Genomic DNA, 22,589 nt, shown 5'->3' on the forward strand with positions numbered 1-22,589 from the left:
TCAGCCACGACATGGTTATAAATTGTAGAAAGAACAATGGAGTGGGAGTTAGAAAATTTGGCTTCAAGTCTGGCTTTGTGTTGATTTTGAGCAAGTCACTTAATATTTCTGAACACAGATTTCTTCTTCCATGAAGGAGGCCATGCTTACCAAACTGGGCTGAGTGTCCTGTGAGGTGCTAATATTTATTATGAAAAAAGAAGAAAAAAATGAGGTCAAAACAGTTTAAGAAATGCTGGGTTAAATCAAATAAAGCGGTTTTCTTTTTTGCAGGACTTCTCAGAGGCTTTAATATCGCAGTGCACACCGTGGATCTCCAAGAGGGATATACAATATGCTCTGAAGCCCAAATTTATTTACCAAAGGGAAACTTCTTTTTTTTTTCTCCATACAAAACACTTACTCTTTTTTGTCAGGATAGGAGATTGAAAAATAATGGATTGGATAATCCCCAAGGAATCTTTTAGCTCTAACAATGGGTAATTTTCTGATTTATCTTATCATTCCAAATGGACAGCAGATTTTCTGAGGGTAGAATGTGCTTTTCTATGAAATCAAGAAAATAGCAGCTAGGTAGGGGCATGCCAGAATGTTCAGAGAAGCAAAAGGAGCATGAAGACTCATCATAGACAGCTGTTCCTATAAAAGACTTGCACATCTAGGGGTATCTTCTCCCCTTTAAAATAAGTCAGCATCATCCAAATGCCATTGGGCTGGCTTTGTCTTCCAAAACAAATTTCCCGGGCATTAACAGAGACTATAAACTGTCTTGACTGACTTATGAGGAACAATCAATAACGTCTGTCCAGGACCCATCAAATCCATGTCTAAGGAAAGGCCAAGTCTTTAGGACAGAAACGTGGCATGGCAGTTTCACAAACTAGTGGAGATGGCTCTCTGGAGGACAGTCTAGGTGGGACTCCCAAGGCCTTCACTGCTTTGCAGGCACCTCTTCCCCAGGTGTGCAGGAAGAGACCCCAGCCAAAGAAAACCTAAGAGGCTTTGTTGGGGAGGAACAGGGGACCCTGCCGGACCCTGCAGGTTTCCCTTTCCCTACTGGCTGAAAGGGAGGGCTGCACACATCAGGGAGGAGAAATAGAGGAAGAAGATGATGGGCACAAAAGCAGAGGGGCAACAAAGTACAGATCACATCTTGGGGGCACAGGGTACAGTTCTCAGAATAGAGAAGAATGTCCAGGTCAAAGGTTTCCTAGAAAACTCCCTTCTCTTTAAAACAGACACATGATTTTCCTTGGGACATTTTTATATACAACTTACAACTGCCAGATCACTCTTGGAAAATCCGCTGCTCATCTTGGCAGTGGCAGTGGAAAGAAGCCAGTGTCCTTAGACATATCTCTTTGTGGGCCCCAGCCCCAACATGCAGGTGTCCATAGCACAGGACAGAGGACTCCATGCAGCCAAAAATCAGTGCAGTTACCCCCTAAGTCCTCCATCTAGAAAAAAATGAGACTTGGTAGTAGCCACTGCCCTGTGGATTCAGCCAGAGCCCATCTCTAGACCCCACCTATCCCCCTGCTGTTCCAAGTTCCAGACTGGGGCTCCAGGATCAAAATGGCTCAGGGCTTTGTGCTAAGAAGAGCTCTGAACAAGACATAAGGGGATGGTTTAAGACTCAGGATGCTGAGGATTAAGTGTCTGGGCAGTTAGTTCCAGAGGTCACCTAAAAGACTACAGGGTTCTGCGAGAGACCTGGAATGAGGAACTAACATTGATTGTATGCCTATTTAAAAGCCAGGTACAACATCCAGAGTATATAAAGAACTCTTACAACTCAATAATAAAAACACAACCTAATTTTTTAAATGAATGAAGAACTGAATATACATTTAGCCAGAGAAGACATACAAATGGTCAATATGCACAGGATGATCATTATTAATTATTAGGGAAATGCAAATCAAAAACACAATGGGATACCAAGAAAACTGAAAACATATGTCTACACAAAACCATGTCCACTAATGTTCACAGGAGGATTATTCATAACAGCCAAAAAGTGGAAACCACCTGCATGTCCATCAAGTGATTAACAGATAAGCAAAATGTGGTATATTCCTACCGTGAAACACTATTTGGCAATACAAAGCAATGAAGAACCGATACCTGCTACAACATGGATGAACCTCAAAAACATCATGCTAAGCAAAAGAAGCCAGACACAAAAGATCACACATTGTCTGATTCCATTTCAATGAAATGTCCAGGACAGGCAAACCCATAGAGACAGAAAATAGATTAGTGGTTGCCAGGGGCTAGAAGGAGAAGCGAATAGGGAGTGAGTTAACAGGAATGGGATTTCCTTTTGGGATGATGGAATGTTCTGGAATTGGACAGTGGTGCCTGATGTACAACTTAGTGAACAGGCTAAAAGCTGATGAGCTGTACACTTCAAAAAAGTGAACTTTCCGGTATGTGAGTTATATCTCAATAAAGCCATTTTAAAAATAGTCACAAAAGTAGATGCCTGATACATATTCTCACCCACCGGACCTGAAATACATATCATCATCCCATTTTACAGATGAGGAAACTTGAGGACTGGTGAAAAGCAGCTAATTGCCAAGAGGCCCGCTGCGAAGCCACGTGACGGACTTACGGCAAGTGGATTTTAACTAGGTTTGCTGACTCCGGAGGCCACGTTCTGCTCGCTTCACCACGCTGCTCCCTGCCAAGATGATAAGCTAACCAGCAACTGCAGAACGGTTCCTCTGGAAAAAAGATCACTCCCTGGACAAAGGATCACTGACCTACATAAAATGCTAGTGCTGGAAGTCACGTTAAGCGGCATCTCGCCAAATCCCTTCATTTCACAGATGAATAAGTAGAGTTTCAAGGCACTGTACTGACCTGTCCAACCAAAGCAGCAAGGCTGGTGGGCACAGTCACCCTCTCATTTTACAGAAGACAAGCTGGCGTATTGTTCACTGCAATTAGTTAGGAATCAAAAGGTAGAAGGAGTTCACCCGGTTGGGGCATGCAGGTCAACAGGCATTCACCAACCTTCAAACATGCCAGCCTCACATCCAGGTCCCAGCTAGAAGATCACTCGGGCCAGTTATAGCTCACATTATTCTGCGGTTACCCTGAAATTTCTCTTCTAACCCTAGGAGTGCTCTGAAAAGTCCCACCAGGGTGCGACTGTTCCAAGGATCCCTTGGAGCTTTTGAACTACTTAGCAGGAATGAGGAGTTCTGGATTTAGCATTCAAGTGTGAGGATAAAGGCTAGGGAGACTGAGGAAGCAACTATCCTCCCCCCGAGTCTAAAGTGACTCCATGGGGAACCACTTGAGAAGGAAAGGGAAGGAAGCTGAAGCCGGATTATTTCACACTGCAACCGCAGGGCCTCGAGGACTCTAAGTTGGGGGTCTTTTTATTGCCTGCTTAATGTCTCCAGGGAATGTCCTGTCTCAAACTTAAAATGTCCCAAATGGAGCTCATTACCCCACTGTTCTCCATCCCACAAATCTGTTCCTCCTCTTGTTTTCTCTTTCCCCCAGGACTATCATTCGCATTCCCCAGTGGCTGAGGCTAAGCACCCTGGCTCACCTTCCACACCCCCCTCACCCCCCAACTTCCAGGCAGTGGCCAGGCCTGCTGGCTCGAGCTCTGCCTCCACTTGCCGGCTGGAATCACCTCCTCCTCTGCATGCTCACTGCAAGCATTGTCCTGGGGACTCAGTAAATGTTTACTGAATTGAGAGGTCAATCCTACCCACTACTAGTTAAGTCTTTCACAGCAAGTAGCAGCCACGATTATTTCAACACAGAAAAGGAGAAAAAGAGGAGCTGGATGACCTCGTGTAAATAGGTGACAGAGAGGTTATTAAAGCAAAGCTCGAGCCAGGAGGAGCAGAGCAGATGGGGCTGTGAGCCACTCTTTGCACGCATCCTGCTGGAACAGAAAGGCACACCAAGACACCAGGGCTACCAACTGCATCTGCAAATTATTCATTATTTCAGTGCAGTCCCTCTGAACTCTCCATCTGCTGATGGCTACTACAGTCAAATAATTACATTCAAATAAAAAAACCTGTGACCTGGAACTTGTTCCAGTCAGCCCAAGTGAGACACCCACTGTCCCCCAGCCGGGCCTTGTGCACCCCTGTGTGGGGCAACCTCGAGCTTGCTCCCTAGCCACCTTTCCAAATCAAGACCATCCTTCAAACCCCAGATCAAATGATGCATCCCTTGTCACTGGGGACCTCAGGGTTTTCTCTTTGGGCCTAACAGTGCTCATCACGTATTACCCTGCATCGCTTGATGTCTTTTGTTGCTTGGTTTAATCTTGCCTGCAATGAGTTTAAGAGTGCTTGGAAAAGACAGCGACTGTGCTGAAGTGGCTAATGTATGTAAAGTATTAAGCTCAGAACTGGGCTTGGCACACTGTAGGCACTACCAATATAAGCATCAGCTACTGACTACTTATTGATGTCCCCTGAGTCCCCAAGCATGATGCTGCACATGTGGCACAAGCTACCAAATCTGCTGGAGGTTGACAACAGGTTTCTCGCACCTCTTTTATCTTCCTAACCTCTACTCAAACTAAAACTCCTGCCCTCCAATTCAATGCCAGGAATTCCATCTGCACATCCACCAACCTCACCACTCAGTCAGGTGGCTCAGCTCCTTCCTTCTAGGCTATCCCTTCACTGTTCAGAGTCCAGTCGGCCAAGGTGACGTGGGCCAGGGGAGAGGCAGGCTGTAGCCTGACATAGCGTGTCTCTGCCTCACACCCCTCGCTTGTCTCGGGGTTAGAGATATTATAAGACTTGGTGAACCATTTGTTTCTTTCTGAAATCAGAATGATAACTAAGTAGAGCTAGAAAAAGAGGCAATTTTTAAATTATACCACGCACTGAGCCAAAGCCGCTGGTGATACAATGACAACACTCATTTGTCCAGGGCTGGCCAAATCAGTCACAGGGACCCCTTTTCGGTGTGAAACTGCACCAAATACTGCCCAGTTGGGGTTCCATCTCAGATTCTGAGATGTCCCATGTGACTACTCTCCAAACGGCATCCTCTGGTCACACTCCCTGCAGCAGCCATCAATTCAGGGGCTGGAGGCAGGGTGGCAACTGTGAAGAACGCAGAGGTGGCTGAGCCTCAGTAGCTTTTGACAGGCATCTGCAATCAATAAGTCTAGTATGACAGACTCAGGGGAAACCCTCCTAGCTTCGGAGAAGGTGGTCTGCATCTGGACGTTCCCACCTTCCTAGCGTTGGGACTAGCGGCCCCTCTGGGTACATCAAGGGCCGGCACTTGAAACCTGCAAAGAAACATCTCGGTCTGCCCATATCCAGAGACCCAGCTTCCTGGCTTTTCTTCAAGTATCTTAATCTACCCCATCTCTATCGAGCACTAAACCAGTCGAAGATACTTTGGGATCAGAGAAGGAACGGCAGACAAAGCCTCACATTAAGCATCTCTTTAGTAAAGCATCCAGAAAATTCTGCCTGTGTTACTTCACTTTTACTCCCACCTAGGCCCCTGTGGCTGAGGACAAGACCACACACAAGGGCACTAGCCAAGCCAGGGTGACCCATCAGCCCCAGCCCTCCTGTGGCCTCCACTGGATATCCAGGCACCCCCGGTTTTTCCCTTGGGTCCCATCCCACCACTATTCTGGTGATCTGGAGCCATACTGACCAACACATAGAATTAGCTAGCGGGCACAAGTGGCTATTTAAATTTAAATTAATTAAAATAAAACATTGAGTTCCTCGGCCCCACTGGCCACATTTCAAGTGCTTACTGGTCACGTGGCAAGTAGCTACTGTGGGAGAGAGGGTGGACCGAGAGAGACATCAGTACGGAAAGCTCTATCAGGCAGAGCTGTTCTAGATGGTGACATTTAAACTTGCAGGTGGCCAATTTTTTTTTTTAACTGTCACTTTGTGGTCTTGAAGAAAATATTTTTCCAACCTGAAAGGACAAAATTGCTTTCTCTAAAAAACTCAGTGAGGGAAAAGGTCACCTCCACGCAATGACCTTCACAGAACACCCGTGTTCTTCGGAAGCTGGTCTGCCCATCTGAGCCGCTTCTCTGCTTTCTATGACACTTTTGGAACCCTCAGCCCTACATCCAGACTCCCACGCTCCGATGGAAACTTTAACCAAAGCATAGGAGGGGCTCTAGCTTTTCTTCTGGAATTTGTAAGTCACTGTTTTTCCATGGGCCCTACGTTACTTTATTTGGCCTAGTATAACACAGCACCACAAGCTGGGGGGCATAATCAACACAATTTATTATCTCACAGTTCTGGAGGCCAGAAGTTCAAGATCACGGTGTCGACAGGGCCGGCTCCCTCCGAGGCTGTGAGGGACGGTGTGTTCCATGCCTCTCTCCTAGTTTCCGGTGGGCGCTGGCAATCTTTGCTGTTCCTTGGCTTCTATGCCTATTAACCCAGTCTCTGCTTTCGTGCTCATGAGCCATGGTCCCTGTGGGCGTGTCTGTGTCTGAATTTCCCCTTCCTATGAGGACACTAGTCATACTAGACTAGGGGCCCACCCTACTTTAGTGGGACCTCATCTTAACTAGCCACATCTGCAATGACCCTATTTCCAAATAAGGTCACATGCTGAAGTACTGGGGGTTAGGACTTCAACATGTGAGTGGGGAGGGGGACACAAAATTCATCCCCTGACAGGCCCTCAAAGCCTCAAAGAAAAAGCACTCCTCCTGGCCCACCATCTGCCTTCCATTTTTCTATTAATATGAAAAGATTTGTAAGAAATTACTGGCTACTCAGCTTTGTGGGAGCAGCTGGTGACCCCAGGCAGAAGCTAACACCACATGAGGCTATTTCCATGATACACCAAGTCATTCAAGCCCACTATCCTCGATTTAACAAGGTCCAAGAACAAAAACCTGACCTTGAATACAGTGTGAAGGAAAAACTGTCACAATTGTCATGGTCACAAGTAGAGTGCTGGGGAGTTCCTCCAAGTTCATCAAACCGCCTTCTTTTACAGGGATGTTCTCTGGGTGATGTGGCAAAAACAAATGAAGAAAGTCCCTCCTGACCCAGACTCCTTAACATACTGCTGGACGGTCACTGTCATCATACAAATCACTGCCAAGCTCATCAGACGTGATTGTCATGAACAGAAAGCTATCCACCAGCACAGTGGACCCAGAAAGGTGCTGTGGTTCATGGCCCACATCACGTGTCTGGGTTATAAGACACAGGTGAATTACCTATGAATTCAGGCAGCATGGAACAGAAAAAACCAATAAGCTTTAGTGCTAGAAAACCTGGCTTGAATCCTAGCTTTGACACTTAATAGATAAAAGATCTTGCACAAGTGAATTTGTCTCTCTATGCCTCAGTTTACCCTGCTGGAAAATGCAGAGCCTGAGATCTACTTCACATCAGGCTAAGAAAGCTCTCTGGATGGCCATCACTGTGTTAACTAGCATTTACTGGGCGTGGATGACGTGTTCACGGCAGCTCCCAACAGGTCTGAGGTAAGACGCCGCTATTATCCTCGTTTGCTGGGAGAAGACTCGGGCTTAGAGCCTCTGATTACACAGCTGCACTCTAACCATTTCCTAATACTGCCTCTCAAAGGAGGTCAGCAGGTGAAATAGTGGCAGGCTCTATAAATGCTTGTTCCCTGCACCCTCCTCTGGTATCCGCCACGCCGCACAACAGTTCATACTGTCCTGGCACTGTCCACTCCCAACATCTTCACAAGGACAGAAGATCATCAAAAGTGGTTTAGAGGAAATAACACCTCTGCCAGGACACAGTCATTCCCTCATTTGATATTTCCCCTAACTCTCTTCCCTAACCTCTTCCCACATAACATTCCTGACAGCTGGGAGAACATCGCTGACCGCTCTCCAACCTCCCGTCCAGACCTGCCTCTGTCTATCTGCTCCTTCTCACCCTCTGTTCATCCCCTGGAGACATTAATACAGAAACCAACTGTCTGGCTTCTGACCTCCATACTCTTTTAAAATTGCAGTATAAAGATGACGGTGTCCCTGGGTAAATGGTGGTGTCTTGGTTATGGCCTCATGGTTTTAGCAGTTAGGCTTTGTCCCTTGGAGTGGTTAAATAAAGACAGACATTAGCACAGTTTTCCACCCAATTATCCTATTTACAAAAATAGAACTCTCCTCTGTGAGCATTTTAAATAGAGGCCTTAATTTCCACAGATGTCAACCTTACCAGGTCGATTCCTAAAGCCTCAATTGATGAGCTAGAATACAGCATGGTGGGCAATGGAATCTACCCTCAAATGATCTCTTCCTATATATATAGTATTTTGGATGTATACATCTATTCATAAATATACAGATATATTTACACACATAGGCACACACATGCGTGAACACGCCAGTTAAAAAAAAGTAATAGTCTTGAAGGTTGTCTGATAGGCACGTAGACTGGCAGTTCTGCTGAGTGTTTTGGGTCTTTGTGTTGCATCAAACCAGTAGAAGGATAAGAAGAAGTACTCAGACCTGTTATTTTGGCCTTCCAGGGAATAACATTTGCTGAGTTGCATTTTCATGTTAGGCCTTGAGCTTCCAATGAGGACTGCTGTGAGAAGAGCTGTAAGAACCCAGTTTTTCATCTGTTGTGGGGATGCCAAACACCCTGTTCATGATACCTCTCAGTGCTTCCTAGATAAAAGTCCACATGCAAAATTTAGTTGAAAAGAACTAAAAAAATCTTTGCTCCTCTTGAGGACCTGGTGCACCTTCCTTCTCTGACAGCAAGAATGACCGCAGCGACCACATTTGCCTTTTCTCTTTGATGTTATGAAGCTCAGCTAAGTAGCAATGTAAGGGACTTATTGTCTGCATATCTGTAATTCTTTTTCTTCCTAACTTTGAACTTCTATATTTATTTGTATTTATCCTGATCCTGTCCTAAATTCTTTTATGTATCATATGGTTTATTGCAGTATACGTATTTATACTATAAAATCAATCAAAAGTTGTAAAACAAGGTGAATTACAAATAATCAAATAGAACTTAATTAAAATAATTACCATAGTAAACACAGCCAAATTTAGAGAATAGTATAGTTAAAAAACACTACAATCAGAGTGAAACATTTAAAAAAAAATGAACATGTTGAAGCAGACACTGTAAGTTGCCTTCCTAATAGCCATTCCCTCTTTCTCTTCTGGAGAGACAGGATTTAGTTTAGATGTCACTCTCCCCACCACCACCTCCAACCACCTTCCACCTCCCCTTTGTGTGACTCAAGAACCAATCCTGGCTAGTCTAAGCTAATTGTTTGCTGTGCCTGGGAGTGAATGATCTGGGCTAGGCATGTTACCCAGTTATAGCCTATAAGAAGGGGAGAGAGAACAGCTGGGACCTTTGGGGAAGGTTCCCTTATTTGATGAATGATTTGGAGGGAGGGAGGGAGGGAGGGAGGGAGGGATGGATGGATGGATGGTTGGATGGATAGATGGATGGATGGATGGATGGATGGATGGATGGATGGATGGACAAACATATTTCTGCTGGGCCAACCATGCACACAAACCATCACTTAGTGCTAGGCACTAAACTGCATGCATTGAGAGATATGAGAGTAAATAATTAATGACTAAGGGCTTGAGAAGGCAGATGCCATAAGAATCACAATCTTCTTCAGAAGACACCCCAAAGATAGACCTTCCAGATTCTCCCAGGGATCATGTTAATCTCTGAGAAACATGTTGAGAAATTCTATGTAAGTACCAAATTTATAATCACTACATACAAATAGCTCTTGCTCTCCCACAAAGATCACAGAAGGAAGGAAGGATGGGAGGAAGGGAAGAAGAGAGAAAGGGAAGAAGAAAAGGAGGGAGGAAGGCAGGCCAACCAGAAAAGTTTACTGCCCCTTTCCAAAGTATACTTTGTATATTCTCTGGATTAGGTAGAATTGCTTCCATATTCAAAATCAATTGTAACTGCTCTCAGGCCACTCACAACCTTGCTTTTCTCTAAATACCTTTTCTCTAAGAGACACCAGCCATGCATGTGCCTGTGTGCACACACATGCTCAGAAGCTATTTCAAATGGTCTCCAACCTCCTCAGCCCCCCACCCCACAGGGGCAGCTCCTTTGCTAGAAAAGGGACTGAAGTCCAAGCTGTTTGCTGCATCCACTGGCTCCAGTGTCCCCCAGACACCTGTCATCGCCCACCCTGGGAGCTCTTCTCCACTCCCCAAACTATCTTGTTCACAGCAAAATAAAATACTATTCTTTTCCACTCTAATAAGATGCCCTCTGTCCGGCCGTGCAGAGTCTGTCTCGTGGTTTATCACTACTCAACGTGTCTGCATGTGATTTTCTCCCTCACCTCTCCCCCTTCTGCACCAAATCATGCCCACCTCCCTTCTGAACTGCTGGAAACCAAAATCTTCCTGAAAGCACCCCAAGCTAACTTATGGGGTTAGGATCACCACACCCAGGATTCCCTCAGTCCTCCTATCTTTAGACTTCTTTTCTTTTTGAGGACACGATTCTCCAAAGTTAACTTCTATAAAGCAAATCCTATTTCTCACTGACCCATATTTTACCAAACAGCTGGCACTGCTTTTTTCACAGCTGAAAAAAAAAAAAAAAAGAAAAAGAGAAAGAAAACTCTGCTGAAGCACATGGAGAACCGGCCACACAGCCCTGCTGAAGCATGAGGGATTTTCCTTCCCAGGACTTTCCAGGCTCAAAATTCCTGAACTTCCCACATTAGTCAAATGCTGCTGCTACGGGCTGGACTTCTGCACATTAGATGTCATCGTAAAGAGAATCTAGGTGACAAACGAGGCAGAAATGAGCACAAGTTTGTCCCCACCACTGGGAAATCAATTCCCAGTGCACATCCCACAAGAGGGTGGTCTAGGTAGGCTTGGGCAAGCACAGGTATGCCTCTGTCCCAAGGTTCTCCTGTCCCTCTTTACAGTAGTCAGATGGGCATGGTTGTTTTCTATTCCATTCTTGGCTGAACCAGTGGGCACAGGGCTTTGCACACAGTGGGCCCCCCAGTGCTGCTGAGAGACTGACTTCTGAGAGGGAGGTGATGGAGACTGAGGCTGCCTCCGCAGAACAGAGGGCAGCTGCATTACCAGGCATGCCCTCTGAGAGGCCTCTGCTTTAAGCTGAGTGGCAGGTAATAAAAACCCAGGTTCCAAAGGAGCTTAATCGAGGGTGCTGGCGTGGCAGCTGAACTGGAGATCAGAGGGGACCAGCAACCACGGGAGCCTTCCTACATGTCACACCATTCCTTGGGACCAGCAGTGACTCTCTAAGGATGAACCACACCATCGCACACATCTGAAGCTGGGAGTGGACGAGGAGAAGGGGGAAATCTTCATGGAGAAAGACACCAAATGTCATGAGTCATAAAGCAAATTCTGACTTGGAACCATCGAGGGAGATTATCTTTCAGCTCAGAGTGCATTTTTTTCCAGCAAGATACAAAAAGCTTCATGGATCATAGTAACCAGCTTGCCTGTTATTGAGTTGAGCACAGTAGGGAAAATGCAAAGGTAAAGTGTATGCTTGCAGAGTGGCTCTGAACACTTCTGAAAATGATCACTCAAGGGCTGGAGGGCCAAGGGAGCGTCTCTGCGAGGGCAGGCGTGCATACACACCAGCGGCCCCCAGCCAACGCCCTGACCCAGTACACATAGGCAGCAAAGGAGGTGAGCCTTTCCCTTTAATTATGCCAATTGTGAGATGGGGAAGGCGCCAGTGGAGAAGGCATTTAAAGCAGATTGCCCCATTTAGGGAGATATGATACTTGGAAATGAAGACTGGCACTTTTCCTAGACTAAAGGTTGTGCTGAATGGCCAGAGAGCAGGAGGGCAGCAGCCCTGCCTGTGGGGCTTCCACCTGACTTCAAAGACGGGCGCCACGCTGGAGCCAGTGCACAACACAAAGGGAAGCGGGGGCTCGAGGCCCCAGGCTGCTATCTGCTCCAATTTAGGGGACAGTCCTGCTTCTTTCCAAGAGACACCCTTTGGAAGTGGGGAGAAAGTAGCTAAACAGGCCTGAATGGGAGGGCTAGAAAGAGGAGATACTGCACCTCAGGCCTTGCCCTTTAATTTCAGAGCCATTTTAAGCATAAATATCGTATCTAAGTCTCCGATAGAAGGAGCACAAATGGTAGGCGCTCAATTAATGTCATCTCACTTTTGAGTCAGAGAAACATCTTCACTTTGCATTACTGCTGAACAGAACTGAGGGCCATCAAGACCACTTTGTGGAGGCCATAAGGAAAAGACCTAGAAACGCATGCTTCAGACACATTCCACCACATCAGGGCTGAAACGAGCAGCAGGAAGATGTCTGTGCACAGAGCAAGAAAGCTGGTTCCACCAAAGCCAGGTTAGAATATAGATACATGTACATGTATATACACATAGAAAAGCTAAGTGTGTGAGAGAGACAGAGAGTGTGTGTGTGCAGTATGTTAACTAAACCTCTTACAAAAGTCATTAAAATTTTCTAAAAATTAAATTCTGAACAATAATTAGTTTGTGAAACCAACAGAACAAAGTGCTAAGAGCCTGAGAAAACACCATCTCTTCTTTACATAGATCACTGAGGACTTGATAAGAAACTTCCTCTGTCACACAGCAGCCTCCGTGGGCAGTGGGAGGGGAGCTGAAGGGGAGAGAAGGAGAGACGATGATGGAATTCGAAAGCTAGGAGGGGCTTCCAATACGTTCTCTTGCTATGGAGGACACAGGTGATACGGCTTCTTGGAGATCACACAGCGAGTCTCTGATTCTCTGACTACAGCCTGGATGGTTCATACGGATGATACCACCACGGCACAGAGATCTCCATAAGTACTTTAAAAACAACATGCATTGGGTGATCTTTCTGTTCGGATACTGACTCTCAGGGAAGACGGCCTCACTTCCAGCATGGGGGGGATGCACATCCTGGTCAGTTTAACTCAGCCAGGGCTCATCTTCTTCCTGTTGTCAATGACTTGACTTAGGCACTGGCACACACCATCAGCCTGGTCAACGAGGTGTGAAGGGAGGTCTGCAGGAAGCTTCTGGAAAAGGTTTTCTTGCTTTAAAGAGATGCTCTTTTTCCCATGGACACTGTTGAGTTGGATGTGATGCCTAGAACTGTGGCAGCCATCAGACCGACATACCACAAACCATGGGGCAGAAATACAGAAAGAACATCAGTTTTTTACAACCAACCCTGGAGCTGATGACCTCAGAACTTCTTGTTAACCAGTCAGTCAGTTTTCCCTTTTGTTTATACACTTTGTGTTGGTTTCTGTCCCTTGAAGCTAAAAGCATCTTAACCAATAATCTACTAATAAACAGACCATGAAACAAAAAACAATTTGTTTTCTACCATCCTACTCTCTCTGAAGAGAAACAAGGTCTCCTGAGCTGACGGGGAAAATCCCCACCTAACTCTTTTTCCCTGCTTCTTCCTTTTTTCTCCCTCAATGGAACTGTAAACACGCTCAGAACTACCAGCCTCTCTGAGAAGAAGCCTTAAAGATGCTCTGGTCCCACATCCATGTTCTGTTGGATGCCAGTCTCCGGCAGTCCCTTCACAAGGCACTCATCTGGAATACCTCCAGTACCAGAGAAATCGCAGGCCCCATGGATGTCCACATGTGGAGGGCTTCGGTACGGTGTCCTTCCTTAGGGCCTGGTGGGAATCTGCCTCCTGTGGCTTTCCAGCCATTGATTCGAGTTGCACCACAGCTACCTTCTATTATCCATCTGCCCTTCAGATACTGCTTCTGTATCATACAGCTTAATTCTCAATTATTATAATTCCTTTCAGACAAATGTTTTCTTACAGGAAATGCATATTCTTCTGAGCCATGTTCTACCTTCCCCATCTCTCAGGCTCAGACAGTTAGAGAAATCAGTCTGTCCCATTTAACCAATGAACGAATGAATCAGTCAACCAATCAATCTCCCTCTGTCTTTTTCCTATCCCCAACCCAAACACGTCTAATAATATAAGGGTAATAATAATCTTAACAGTCACATATTTTGAAAGAAAATTGGGGCAATATAAAAATCCAATATTGTCAATCTCAAAATCCTTGGATAGTGTCCAAAAGTCTCCTGCAAACACACACGATCTGATTTAATTAAAATACCTTTCTTCAAACACTGACATTAAAGAGAAATATTTCTTCTTCAATATTATTTTTCTGATATTTAATTATTTCCCTTTTCCTAAAAAGTATATGTATTTCAGCTGTGTTCTCTCTCACTCTTTTTAAAAATTACTAGACTTTATTTAGTTTTTGTTTGTTTGTTTGTTTGTTTTTTTGAGACGGAGTCTCGCTCTGTCACCCAGGCTGGAGTGCAGTGGTGCAATCTTGGCTCACTGCAACCTCTGCCTCCCGGGTTCAAGCAACTCTCCTGTCTCAGCCTTCCAAGCAGCTGGGACTACAGGCGCATGCCACCATGCCTGGCTAATTTTTGTACTTTTAGTAGAGATGGGGTTTCACCATATTGGTCAGGCTGGTCTCAAACTCCTGACTTCAGGTGATCCACCTGCCTCAGCCTCCCAAGGTGCTGGGATTACAAGCATGAGCCACCGCATCCAGTCAGACTTTATTTTTGTAGAGCAGTTTTAGTCTCACAACAAAATTGAGTGGAAGGTACAGGGAGTTCCCATACACACCGCCTGCTCTCACGCATGCATCAACTATACTCTCCCATATCTCCTTTAAGGCAAGCTTGAGACCCAAATCTTAGCTGATAGCACTTTATTGTTAACTGTGATGTGTCCACACAACTAGCTTACAAAAGAGGTTCTGGAACACAGCCCTTGGTAAACCTAGAACTTGTAAAATACATATGAACTGATCCATCTCATTCAAAACTCCCTTTTCCCAGGCCCAGAACTTTACCTAATTTCTCACCTCTATCTTATACATATTACTAAGTAGTTTTCAATAACAATTAGAATCTAGAGCTAAAAATCATCCTCCTGAAAAGATGAGACACAGACACTTAGACATATGTACCAGCAACTCTCAATCATTCGTTTTAATGTAAGAAAAAGGAATATTGACCAGCACAAACCACATATCAGTCAAAACTGCTTTTACCAGGCTTTCCCGGAGGAAAAACTCACCCTGTAATTATGTTTCACCTAGGAAAAGATAAAAATTAATTTATATATGCCAAACTACATTTTAACTTTAAAATGTAGAGGTGGCCTAGAAGTATATTAAATCCAAGCATTCATTCAATAAGCATTTATTGAGTACCAAATATTTGCTAGACACTTTGGGAGGCACTGGGGATCTGGAATTGAAAGCCAGCCTCCTGCACTCATGAAATCTCACAAAAGAGAACTAAATACATATAGAAATCAGCAAATCTGAGCCACAGTGGTACCCTTCACACTCACAAGGATGGCTATCCTAAAAAAAGGCATGCGACAACATGGATGAACCTTGATAACAAGCTAAGTGAAAGAAGCCAGCTGCAAAAGACCATGTATTGCATGATTCCATTTATAGAAAACGTCTTGAATAGAAATTTGACTAGTGGTTTCCAGGGGCTGGGGGAGGTTGAGAAGGGGGAATGACTGCTAATGGGTACAGAGTTTCTTTTTGGGGTGACAAAAATGTTGTAAAATTAGATAGTAGTGATGGTTGCACAATTTGTGAATATCCTAAAAACCACTGAACTATACACTTTGAATGGGTAAATTACATGAATTATATCTCAATAAAGCTGTCAAAAATACATGTGGAAATAAATAGTCCTCATATGCAAACAAGAGGAGATAATGAAAGATATTATTTACAAGGATTAACTTAAGACATGTATACAACCTATATACAGAAAACTTTTATACATTACTAAAGTACACACAAAAAAAGAACACATAGAAAACATTGTCTTTGACGGGAAGACTCAACCTTGTAAAGATGTTAATTCCTCCTAAGAAATTTATAAATTTAATGTGATCCCAATGGAAATACCAACAGGCTTTTTTTCTGGAATCAAGAATGTTGGGTCTAAAGTTCATATGGAATAACAAACATGGAGAATAGCCAGGACAAGGCTGAAGGGGAAGAGCAACGAGGGAGAACTAGTCTTTTCAGATATGAAAAGATGATATAAATTTCAAACATTAACAACAGATCAACCCATGGAAAAACATAGAGTCCAGAAATAGACTCCCAGACCTATAGGAACTTAGTAAATGATAAAGTAGGGGTTATGATACTATGGGAAAAATATAAACTTTTAAACAAATAATGTTGGGACAATTGAGTATTGAAAAAATATAAAGTTGCATCCAAGCCTCAGAACATACTCTAAAACAGGGGTCCCCAACCACTCCCCACCCCGCCCTGGCCCGGCCGCAGACTAGTACCAGTTCTGGCCTGTTAGGAACCAGGCCACACAGCAGGAGGTGAGTGGCAGGTGAGTGAGCATTACCGGCTGAGCTCCGCCTCCTGTCAGATCAGCAGTGGCATCAGATTCTCACAGAAGCATGAACCCTACTGTGAACTGCGCATGCGAGGGATCCAGATTGTGCGCTCATTATGAGAATCTAACTAATGCCTGATGATCTGAGGTGGAATGGTTTCATCCTGAAACCACCCCCACCCCCAGTCCATGGAAAAATTGTCTTCCACAAAACCAGTCCCTGGGGCCAAAAAGGCTAGGAACTGCTGCTCTAGAAGAAACACCAAACGTACCAAGATGTAAACAGAAAAAAGTAAAATTACAAAAGTACCCAAAGGAACTGAAAAATATGAGACAGGCAAAGCCTCTCCAACTTTGACTAAAAATACAGAAGCCATAAAAAAAATAAATTTGACTACATAAAATGAAAGAGACTTCCAAAGGGCAAACCACCACCACTAAGTAAACCAAAACATGCATGATCAACTGGAAAAAAAATGCAACTCATAGCAAAGACTATACATAAAGAGCTTTCAGAATAAAGAAGAAAAAGACCAACAACATAGTGGGAAAATGTCTGAAATTCAAAACACACTCCACATAAAAATAAACACAAAATGACATTTAAATACATGAAAATATGATCAACCTTACTTATAATAACAGAAATATAAATTAAAGCTATAACAAAATACCATTTCTCACCTACCAGCAAAAATCCAAAAGTTTGACAACAGATTCCATGGGTGATGTTCTAGGGAAACAGGCACTTTCACATACTGCTTGCATGAGTAGAATACGGTATAAACCCTACAGGAAGAATTTGTCAATAACTTTTAAAAATGACAGATGTATCTGTCCCTTGACTATATAATCCCATTTCTAGGATTTCATTTCACAGATGCACCTACAAAAGTATTAAATGACATGTCTACAAGGTTATCTATTACAGGTGATTTGAAAAGACAGAGGATTAGACACAATCCAAGATTATGTTGTTGTGCCATCATCACACATCAACAAAATGGAGTACTCTAAGGTTATAAAAAAGACTGAAGATAATCTCTATGTACAAATATGCAGAGTTCCAGAATGTATTATTAAGAGAAAAAAGTTAAGACGTAGAACAACAGACTGTATGTGTTATGTTATCCTTTGTGTAAGGGAATAAGAACACACCCATACACACACTAGAACCTCTAAAAATGAAAGACGCAAGGGTTAAGCGAGATACTAAGAAAAATGGTTATCTACGAGGGAACAAAGTGCATAGGGCTCATCTGCAAAACAGAAATAATAAAAAAGAAAAAAAACAAAGTTCACAGGTTAAGACTTCATTGTGTATACTTCTCTATATTGTTTAATTATTTTAACTTTCCAATATCAAAAGAAATGTAGAGAGAATGATTTAACAATTTTTCACATACCCATCATCTAGATTAAACATCTACCTAGTTGTTTTTTTTTTTTTCTGAGACAGAGTCTTGCTCTGTCGCCCAGGCTGGAGTGCAGTGGCGTGATCTTGACTCACTGCAAGCTCCACCTCCCAGGTTCACGCCATTCTCCTGCCTCAGCCTCCCGAGTAGCTGGGACTACAGGCACCCGCCACCACGCCCAGCTAATTTTTTTGTATTTTTTAGTAGAGACGGTGTTTCACCATGTTAGCCAGGATGGTCTCAATCTCCTGACCTCATCATCCGCCCACCTCGGCCTCCCAAAGTGCTGGGATTACAGGCGTGAGCCACCGCACCCGGCCCACATCTACATAGTTTTGACCCTTCAGCCACGTAATGCATTACCCATCTTAAAAAAGCTCCATTCAAAATGTCCTAAACTGAAAAGAAACTGAATGATATGAGCCTAACCATACATCAAACTGGGTGACATGCTCTCTGAGGAAGAATTTATTTTTAGGAATTTTAGAACACAGTATTTTTAATACATACCCTTAGTGGAATGCATTTTAAGAACAAAACAAAAATTACAAAGAAGTATTAAACTTTCCTCTGTAGTTCCATATTGGTAATAATATAAATATTGGTATTTCGAAACTACATTCTTTACATTTATAGGTTAAAGAAAAAATAAAGATTTTTCCATACCAGAAAAAGGGAGTTAAAATAATTACTAAGGAAAGTGAAAGCATAAGGATTTTAAAACTAAACTGGACATGTCCACCTGAACTCTTAAATTTTAACAGTATATATTTTCCAGCTTTGTCCACTGAAGTTCTCTAGAAACAAGTCACCTCTGCACCAATAACCACCCCCAATACCCTGATTGTACTCTCTAATACCATTGTCCCATACCACTGAAAAGTACAAGATGAGCTTGGGGCATTTGTGCCATGAATGAACACAGATTTTCAAGATTATAGAAGTTCTGTCAAAAGGTCACAGGACCTAGCTGAAGGGGTCTCACTGCCTAAAAGTTGTAACAAAAGAGTAATGATTAGAACACACCAGATCAATAAAAATCCATGAATGTATAATGTTAGAAAGACAGAAAAAAACCACGTGTTACTACGTGAAGTGGTTATTAAACTCCTTACTGTGAAAGTTAATGGGGAAAGGGAAAGCATTAGCACAGATCCTGCCTTTCCAGTGGGAACCATGTGTCAGGGTAACCAGACGGCCCCAGGCAGTACAGGAAAGCTCTACTTTATAGAAGAAATGAAAGAATTACAGAAACATTTCCCAAAACCCAAGGAAGGTATGGTTCAGGCAAGAATGACCACTGGGTACAAAACCATTAAGTAAACGATTTGTATGCAAAGTTATACCACACAAGTCACTTGCTGGTCTCTAGGGGGAAAGTGTAACTGGACGATGGTGGGTTCAGGCTGTCACAGCCCTAGACCAGGGGTCAATCTCAGCATCCCCAGTAGTGGGCCTTTTTAGTAACAGTGAGTGAAGCACACTGAATTAGCTCTGGTGAGATCTAGTCAAAAACAACTTGAATCCTGCAAGCTTTTCCATACAGGAAATCAGAGGATGGAGAAATAAGCCTAACCATAAAGAAGCAACCTCACACTCTAGCAGGTCAGAGGTTCTGGAGGCAAGACCAGCAACTGGTCTGCTGCTTCAATAAGAGACTGTGCTGGATTAAGAGACTAAAAGGAAGTTACAACCAGACATAGGGCACGATACTCGATTAGATGGTGATTTCGACAAACCAGCCTTGAAGGGTATTTGAGGGCCAGTTATGGAAATCGGAATAGAAACAAGGTATTAAACGAGATGAACTTTATTGAAATACAAAGTTGGAGACTGTCATCCAAAAAAATCAGATAATAAAACAGTAATACATCATTTTGGTTAAAAAAATGTGCACACATCTATGCATACAAAAAGACCTAAGAGATGTAACAGTGGTCATTTCTGGACAGAGACAGAGAGAGAGAGAGAGAGAGACTAACTGTGTGTATGTGGAGTGTTTTGCTTGCCTTTATTTTCTAATTTCCTTTAATTAGAAAATGTTATTTCTGTACTAAATACATAAAAAAGCAGTTACATAAGGCTTTAGGTTTCACTAGTAATCTACAGAAGGTCATCTTAGAAATGATCTGTTACCTTTCTAAAATATGCTAAGTGGCCTGTCCATCAGTGGCATGGAGGATTCCTGGAATGACTTGGGAACAACCCCCAAGTTGGAACTTCATTGCTTAGATGATTCTCTGACAAATCAAAGATTTCTTCCCCAGATGGTGGCAACACTGTAGAAAGAACAACAACTAGCACCGACAAAGTCTAAGAGAGATGAGGTGATGGTTTGAGAGAAGAAACAAGAGCAAAGTCAATTTTTAAGAGGGGTGCTGAAATGCCTCCTCAAGCAAACTTTACCTCCACTTCCTCATGTGAAAATGTTACCAGCAAAGTTCCAAAGCTCTAGGGGAAAAGTGAGACCAGCAGGATTGAATGCAGCACTCAAGTCCCAGGGAGAAAACTTCACACCAGATATACCTGTTCGCAGAGTGTCTGTCTCAGAATCACCCTTTGACAATACGGATACACGTGCACACCCATTTACAAACTCACCTATCAAGATGTCTTTTGCTTTTAATCATCACTGTCAATTTTTGAAGATATACTATACACTCTAAAAGGGTGGCAATTTCCTCGATTGCAGTTTCATACAAAAATCTGTATGAACAAAAGCATGTTGTACAATCATTCACTGATTTGCCAAGTTTTCAGAAGTGTCTATAATGTGCGTGATGGTAACGGGGTAGAGAACACAGAGACAACCACAGATGGGTTTCTATCTTCATGGAGCTTGCAGCCTAATGGGGAAGGCAGGTGGAAAACAAATATGCCCAAATAAGTGGGTTCATGAAAATTGTTAAGTGTCATGAAGGAAAAGAAGAGGGTGCTCTGAGATGAGAAGAGGGGAATATGATTTACACTGGAGGATCAGGGAAAGCCTCCTGGAGGAAGTGACATTTGAGGTGTGACCACAGAGTGAGCATGAATTAACCAGGCTGCCAGGCAGGAGAACATTCCAGGAAGGGAAGACTGTTGTGTGGGAAAGGGTGCTGAAGCAGGAAACAGCTGGGAACAGTCACAGAACTGAAAGAGGCCAGGATGGGGCAAACAGAGGGGAAGACTGGTGTCCAGGGAGATCAGAGAAGCAAGCCGGGACTGTGCTGTGATCCATGCTGTTCAGGATTCAGGATTTTCTTCCAAGTGTGATGGAAAGCAGTTGGACATCTGAAGTACGGCAGTGACAGAATCTAATGTGCACTTAATATCACTATGGGAAACTGGCTGGGGAAGGTCAAGAACAGGCATGGAGGGACAAGTCAGGAAGCCAGTCCAGATGAGACATTATGGTGGCTTAGGCTAGCTACAGGGATCCAAACTACAGACTGGACACCAAATTCAAACCCAAGTCTGCTTTTAGGAGTAAGATTTTGCCGGAACACGCCCCCCCCCCCACACGCCCCTCCCACCACGTGACTCGTGTATGTATTGTCTGTGCAGCTTTCACTCTACAACTTCAGTAACGGCGGCAGAGACCAGATGGCCTGCAAAGCCTCAAATATGCACCACGTGGACCTTTACAGAAAAAGTTTGCCAACCCCCAGACAAGGGATGGCAGTGGAGACAGAAATGGATGGCTTCACGATAAACAGTCTGTCGTCATTATTCCTGGATTCCACATTTGCAAATTCACCTACTCACTAAAAGGTGTTTGTAACCCCAAAGTCAATACTCAGAGCACTTTTGGTCATGCCTGCGCATGCGCAGAGCAGCAAAAAAGTTGCGCTGGTCAACACACACATTCCCAGCTGAGCTCCACAATGGTGACACTCTGCCTTCCTGTTTCAGCTCTTATACTATAAACAAGTACCCTTTCAACTGTCTATATAGTGCCACATTTTTTTTGCATTTTGGTGTGTTTTGTTGGTGATTTTGCTGTTTAAATGGTCCCCAAGCACAGTGCTAAAGTGCTGCTTAGTGCTCCTAAGCACAAGAAGACTGTGATGTGCCTTATGAGAAACGCATGTGTTAGATAAGCTCGTTCAGGCATGAGTTATAGTGCTGTTGGGCATGAGTTTGATGTTAATCAAAACTATATGCTAAGATATATGTTTAAACAGAAACACACATAAAACATCATCACACCAACATATGTAATGCTATACCAACGTACAACATCTACCAACATACAACATTATTACACCAACGAAACTGATACTACGTATTGATCAGTCAATGGAAATATGACCAGAGGCTCACAGGAACCTAACTCTGTATCTCCCTTAGGAGTAATGATTCAGTATTCACTAATTCAGTGTTCCTGGCGACTTTAGAGAACACAGCTATGGCGAATGATGAGAATGGCTACACCTGGGAGGCAAAAATCAATACAATTTGGTGATGGGTTAAATGTTAAGTAAAACAAAGTCAAGGATGACTCTGGGTTTCTGATGTGAACTACTGGGTGACAGAAGGTGCCATTTATGGAAATAAAGAATTCCAGAACAGCAGTATATTTCAGGGGGTTGACCAAGATGTTTCCTTTGAATGTGTTAAGGATGAGATATCCAAAGAGAGAGGTCCAGTAGCTTGATGGCTTTATGACTCTGGAGCTGAAAAAAGAAGTCTAGGTAAAGATACAACTTTAGGAGTCCCTAACAGATAGAGGGAGCATTGAAAACCTGGGAATGAT

General features: G+C 43.6%; 1 protein-coding gene across 8 annotated transcripts in view; it reads right to left on the reverse strand.

Moving 5' to 3' along the window:
• Positions 1–22,589, reverse strand: part of HIPK2 (homeodomain interacting protein kinase 2) — a 216,429-nt gene that overhangs the window by 180,563 nt on the left and 13,277 nt on the right. The window contains exon 1 of one of the 8 annotated variants that reach the window (XM_047420263.1): positions 1–22,589. This exon is cut by the window's right edge and continues 11,426 nt beyond it. The exons of the other annotated variants lie outside the window; for them this stretch is intronic. The gene's annotated coding sequence lies outside the window, so the exon portion shown is untranslated. 8 annotated transcript variants of the gene reach the window in all.

This window comes from Homo sapiens, chromosome 7 (genome assembly GCF_000001405.40).
Source record: "Homo sapiens chromosome 7, GRCh38.p14 Primary Assembly".
Taxonomy (NCBI): Eukaryota; Metazoa; Chordata; class Mammalia; order Primates; family Hominidae; genus Homo; species Homo sapiens.